Genomic DNA, 6,854 nt, shown 5'->3' with positions numbered 1-6,854 from the left:
TGTTAAATGAACTAATGAAAGCTGGTTTTCTGAGATGGTAACTCTAGTTTAGAAACTTACCTTAATCCATCCCTAGGACAAACTGACTCTAAAGATTCCATCAAATATTTATAATTTTTTATTTTAATTTCTACATGATGGTTAATGAAATGTCCATACTGGCTATCCTTTTAAATTTCTTTTTATTTTTTTCCCTTAACCTCTTCATTTCCCCTTCCCCGCCATTCCCAAATTTTTATTCTATGACAGGAGAAATATTAATTCAAAGGTAAAAAGCTGCTAATAGTAATCATTTGCCTATGAATACCATCAGCTAAGCTAGTGAGAAAAGATGTATATTTAGTAATTTAAAATGAAATTGAGTTAAAATAGGAAAATATATATGCAAATCGACATTGAAAAAAGTAGAAACTTGGTGAGTTTCATTACATATCCTTCACTTATCTTTAGAATGATGACCTTAAAAACAGTTACACATTTTTTTTTTCATCCCAAGGACTACTTGCCACCCGTATTATGTTTTCCAAGTTGAATCTCATTTTGTAGTTGCCCTTTAATCACTGAAGTTCTCTTTTTATCATTTCTGTGCTAATTGGTGTTAAAACACTTGACAATTTATTGTGATTTAATTTTCATTAGCTTGCATGTCTTTCTCTACTAGATGATTAATAGAGATGTTAAATAAGATTACAACCTACTAATAGTGCCCTCCCTACACTTTCTTTACCTCTCCCCCACTAGGTAGCAATATGTTTTTTTTTTGATGGAAGCAAAATGAAGTTCCAGTCTACATCCTGTGAAGAATTAGATTACTTTTATTTGATAATTTGAAGATTCAGAAATTCTCCCTTCAGCCTGTGATATACATAAGTTAAGAATAAAATTGTGCACTTACTAATTGATATAGATGTACATCAGTATTTGCATAAAATCAAATAATAGTTAAGTTTCTCAATTAGTCAGCATTTTAAATATGAACGTAATTTCAACATGAACAGCAATCACATACACACATACAATCTTAGGATATAAATATTTTAAAACATAATTCACAATTTTTAATTTACACTTTTCAATTTCTTGAAAACATCTTAAAGTAGATTTACTCCAAAGGATGGGCTTCAATTAACCTCATCTCAGGCTGACAATTCTTTCACCATTTTTAAAACAGCTTTATTGAGATAAAATTCACATATTATAAAATTCACACTTTTAAAGCATACAATTCAATGACTTTTATTATAGTCACAGGTTGTACAACCATTATCCACTATCCCTAGCTGAGACCCATATATTTTCATATGTATGTTGTTCTTGCAACATTTTTGTGCATTACTTAACTATATTACTGATCATAATTTATATGCTTGCTTCCTAGTTATTTTATATAGACTTACTGTTTTCTAGACATGATGGTAAGTTTATTAGTGGCTAGACATATGTGCTTATAATGGTATATTTAATCTGAAGTTTTGAATGTAGCAATAAGACAAAATAGATGTCAAATTTCAAAGTGAATACAAGTCAGATCATATTAAGCTGATTTTATGAAGGAAATAGTCCAAATTCTTTAGTGGAACTTGTTGTTTTATACGCATATATTGTCTTTAGGTCTAGGGCTCTGTTCTTCAGGGATTGCCTACGGTTGAATAATTTCCCCTCAAAGTTCATGTCCACCCAGAACCTCAGAACAAAACCTTATGTGTAAATAGTGTCTATGCAGATGTAACCAAGTTAAGATGAAGTCATACCAGATTAGGGTGGGCTCTAAATCCAATATGATTGATGCCCTTATAAGAAAAGGGAAATTTGGAGCAGAGACACAGAGAAGAGAAGGCCCTGTAAAGGCACAGGCAGAAATTGGTGCAATGCCAAGGAACATCAAGGATATCTGGCAACTACTTGAAGCTAGAAGAGGCAAGAAAAGATTCTTCCCTAGAGCCTTCAGAAGAAGCAAAGCTCCACTGACAACTCGATTTCAGACTTCCAGTTTCAAAGTATGTAAAGTATGTGAGAGAATACATTTCTGTTGTTTTAAGCCAGTTTGTGGGACCTTTTTTTTTTTTTTTTTTTTTTAAAGCAGTCCCAGGAAGCTAAGACAGAGACTGGAGTCCTTGAAATGATTTTCATAATATTTTCTAGGTTTCCTTCTCTAGTGCCTAGGCCAATCTGGGACCAGCTGTGTAGTCCAGGCATGGTTTTCTTAGTCGGGAAAGAGACTTCTGTGAGCTCCTGGCTCTTTATCCCCTTTTAGGCTCTCTGAAGGCCTCTACTTCTACACATGAGGTTGGAAATGAATTAAGAAGATCTAGGATTCACACTCATCTTTCAGTTCCAGGAGAACGATCTCAAAAGTGAATTGTCCCCTTGTGTTAGTCTACTTGTGTTACTACAGTGGAATGCCTGAGACTAATTTTTTAAAAATGGGTTTATTTGGCTTACGGTTCTGTAGGCTGTATATGAAACATAGTACCGAAGTCTGCTTTTGGTGAGGGCCTCAGGAAACATAAAATCAAGATGAAAGGGAGCCAGGGTGTTGGGTGTCACATGGCAATAGAAGGAGCAAGGCAGAGAAAGGGGAGGTGCCAGGCTCCTGCATGAACTCAGAGTGAGAACTCACCTGTTAACAAAAAGACGGCACCAAGCCATTCATGAGGGAGTCACCCTCATGATCCGAACACTTCCCACCAAGCCCCACCTCCAACACTGGTGATCACATTTTAACATGAGATTTGCAGGGGACGCACATCCAAACTATATTATCCCATGATAAGCACAATATTTTTGTGTGTGTGAGATTCCCAAAACTGAGCTTCCAGAATGATGCTAATAGACTGATTTGGGGTAATTTTTTGTCAGAGGACAAATTCAAGGCTATGGGATATCAAAGCTTCTTCAGTGTCTTAGTCCACTTTTTGCTTCTGTAACTGAATGCCACATTACATGAGACAGAGAGAGCAAATGAGGGCCAACATCAACCTTTTTTCAGGGGCCCACTCCCATATATGAATTCATTCATGAGAGTTTAGCCCTCATAACCTAAAAACCTCTTAAAGCCCAACATTTCAATACTGTAACAGTGGCAATTAAATTTCAACATGAGTTTCAAAGGAGACATTCAAACTGTAGCATTCGGTGACCCTTGGCTCTAGCCATATATATGGACCCATGTATTGGCTCTTACTCAGCTATTTTCTAACCATAGTACTGCCTCTAGTCTATAGCACTGATGTTGACGGAAGGATAATGGGACTCTTTTACTCTGTGTACCTCCCACTACAGTCACCCAAGGTAGTTACCCGGCACCCTCCACATGCTCTGCTCCACAGGCCAGTCAGTCCTTTGAGACTGCCCACACACATGTCCTTCAAGGCCATTCAGGATCACACTTGGCAGCACCAAAACTGTGTCCAATCATGACCTCTCTCATTGCTAATTCATGTGGTGACATTGTGTTTTCGGGAGCAGTCTTAAAATGCACTGTATACAAGAGGAACTATCTTGTGCTAATGGAACCACTCTGTTTGTTCCTACCATGGGCCCCTTGCTTATTCTATACCTGGCTGTGATTTTGGAAGATGGGAGTGCACTCCATATCCAATGATATCTATCACAAACTAGGAATGCAATGACTATGGTATAAAGAGTTCAAGAGAACAGATATTTGGAAAAGTATATTCAAAGTTTACTCTGGCTAAGACTTGCAGTTGTGCTCAAATAAACATAGTATCTAACTATGTGGTAATGCTTTGAAGCCAGCCTCAATGGGCAGCAAGACAGATGACATAGCATCTTGTGCAATGACGTAACTATGGTTAAATACATGGTATTAGGAAATGTTATGATGCAAAGATCTCTATTGTTTGAATATGAACATTTTTCAGAGCCAGGGCATTATGCAAATAACATTGTTGCATTTCTTTGTTCCTTCTTTCCTTCCTCCCTTTCTTCCTCCCTCTCCCTCCCTCTTCCCCACTTCTCTTTTGTTTTCTTTCTCTTTCTTCCTCTTTCTTTCTTTCCTTCTCTTTTCTTTCTTTCGTTTTTCTTTCTTTCTCCTTCCTTCCTTCCCTCCCTCCCTCCTTCCTTCCTCCTTCTTTCTTTCTCTCTTTTTTTCCTTTCTTTCTTCTTTTTCTTTTTTCTTTCTTTCTTTTTTCTTTTTCTTTTTTTCTTTCTTTCCTTCCTTCCTTTTTCTTTCTTTCTTTCCTTCCTTCCTTCCTCTTTCCTTCTTCCTTTCCTTTCTTTCTTTCTCTTTCTTGTCTTCCCTCCTTCTTTCTCCTTCCTTCCTTCTTTCACTTCCCTCCCTCCCTCCATCCCTTCCCTCCCTCCCTCACTCTTTCTTTCTTTCTTCTTCTTTTTTCTTTCTTTTTTCGAATGGGAGATGTTAAAGATGTTTCTTTCTTTCCTCTCATTCTCCCTCTCTTCTCTTTTCTTTCTTTCTTTATTTTTTTTTGAATGGGAGATGTTAAAGAAGCCAGGAGTGTTGTGTTTGAAAATAAAGAGATTGAAGGATGGTGCTTGGACTTGAGGACCTGAAGAAAAAAACCTCATGTCTGGATATTACATTTAATCTTTGCATGATGGCTTGAATGAACAATCAATAAAAATATAATTACTCCTCTATTATTTTAAATCTTCACCAATAAATCATATATGTTACATAACCTCATGAATTATGCTATATATTATATAATATGTTATAATATATAAAAACATATAATAATATATTATATATTATATATTATATTATATGTTATAATATATAATTTATTATATTATATATTATATATAACATATAATATATTATGTTATATATAATATATAATATAATATATGATATATGATATATAATATATATTATGATATATAATATATATTATAATATATAATATAATATATTATAATATATAATATAATATATTATATTATATATTGTTATATATAATATATTATATTATATATTGTTATATATAATATATTATATTATATATTGTTATATATAATATATATAATATATATGTTATATATAATATATAATATATAATATATTATAATATAATATATTATATATTATATAATATATAATATATAATATATTATATAACATATATATGTTATATAATATATAATATAATATATATGTTATATAATATATAATATATTATATTATTATATATAATATACTACATAATATATTATATTATATATGGATAATATATATTATTATATTATATATTATATCTATAATATAAATTATATTATATCTATAATATAATTTATATCTATAATATAAATTATATTATATGTATAATATAATTTATATTATATCTATAATATAAATTATATTATATCTATAATACATAATATATTATATTATATCTATAATATATAATATATTATATTACATCTATAATGATATATTATATTATATCTATAATATATAATATATTATATCTATAATATATAATATATTATATCTATAATATATAATATATTATATCTATAATATATAATATATTATATCTATAATATATAATATATTATATTATATCTATAATATATAATATATTATATTATATCTATAATATATATTATATTAGATAGTATATGTTATATTATACATTATAATATAATATATAATATATTAATATTAATATAATTAAATTTAATTTATATTTTATTAATATAATTAAAATTAATATTATATATTACATCAATATATTATATATTATAATATTATTCCCCTTCTATTCAGAAAAGAGGTTGGGCTTCTCTAGAACAAATAGGAGAAACTAATACATGTCCTGTAAGTTTGTATGGACATAGTTTTGTCTGATGTATGGCTGAGGAGTCTGAAAGCCAGAAACTGTTTCTGTTTGCCTGAGGGAGTGGTAGGAGAGAGAAAGAGACAGTGAGAGAGCAAAAGAGAGAGAGGGAGAATAAGAGAGGAGAGAAAGAGAGAGAAGGCTTTGTTGGGAAGTAGCTGAACTCGAAGGTAGGGTAAAGCTTGAATTAGTTTCCCATGACCCTAAGGCAACTTCTAGGAGCAGGGAAAGAGCTGCATAGGTATCACTTAGGTTGCTCAGGCCTTAACAGAGAAGAAGAAGCTGGAGTCTGGCTGTTCACCACCTGGTTCCAGGGAGCAGACACAGACAAACAAGCGCCACACCCACTCACTTCAACAGAAATAATAGTGAAAGAAAAACAGCATTGTTGGGGTCTCTGAAGACCATGCAAATAGATGCTTTGTGGAGACAGAAAGATTTCAATTTTGTTCAGGCCCAGAGATCACAAATAATGTGTGAAAATAGAAGTCAGTAAAGAACTTTCTACTGTTCTTAACTACCATGCTCTTCCCCTGCTTTTACCAGGAATGTAAAAAATGGTATCTAGTACTGCAGGTAGAAATATGTACAGAAACAGAAAGTCAGAAATTGCTTCACACACATCAAACCTCATCGTTGTGAGACAAAAGTGTAAGTCATGTTCAAAGTGCTAATTCCTTGCTGAATTCAGACTGTTTGCAACTCAACATGAGAGTTTTTAAAAGTTTTATTTTTTTTTTCATGAGAGTGATTGCCAATGTCAAGGGACTGCAAGATTGGCAAGAGACAGACTACTTTTCGTGAGAATATTTAAAGAATGTGTGGGGAAAAAAATGAAGTCCAGTTTGATTACATTCCATGAATTTTGTTAATTAACAATGGCAGTCAAAATTTGTTGTATATATTGTGACAACAGGGATGAACCTAGAGAACACTGTTAAGTAAAATAAGCCAGGCCCAGAAAGACAAATACAGCATGATCTCACTTATAGGTGGAATTTTTACAAAGTTGACTTCACAGAAGCAAAGAGT

At 32.1% G+C, this 6,854-nt stretch overlaps 1 annotated feature.

Moving 5' to 3' along the window:
• Positions 1,633-1,833: a silencer, noted in NCBI's record as "peak3090 fragment used in MPRA reporter construct". NCBI's record gives its function as "represses an SCP1 promoter by STARR-seq MPRAs in K562 erythroleukemia cells {active_cell/tissue: K562}" and the evidence as "EXISTENCE:reporter gene assay evidence [ECO:0000049][PMID:32103011]".

This window comes from Homo sapiens, chromosome 18 (assembly GCF_000001405.40).
Source record: "Homo sapiens chromosome 18, GRCh38.p14 Primary Assembly".
Lineage (NCBI taxonomy): Eukaryota > Metazoa > Chordata > Mammalia > Primates > Hominidae > Homo > Homo sapiens.
The sequence above is the reverse complement of the archived record's forward strand: the minus strand, read 5'-3'. Positions and strand labels throughout refer to the sequence as shown.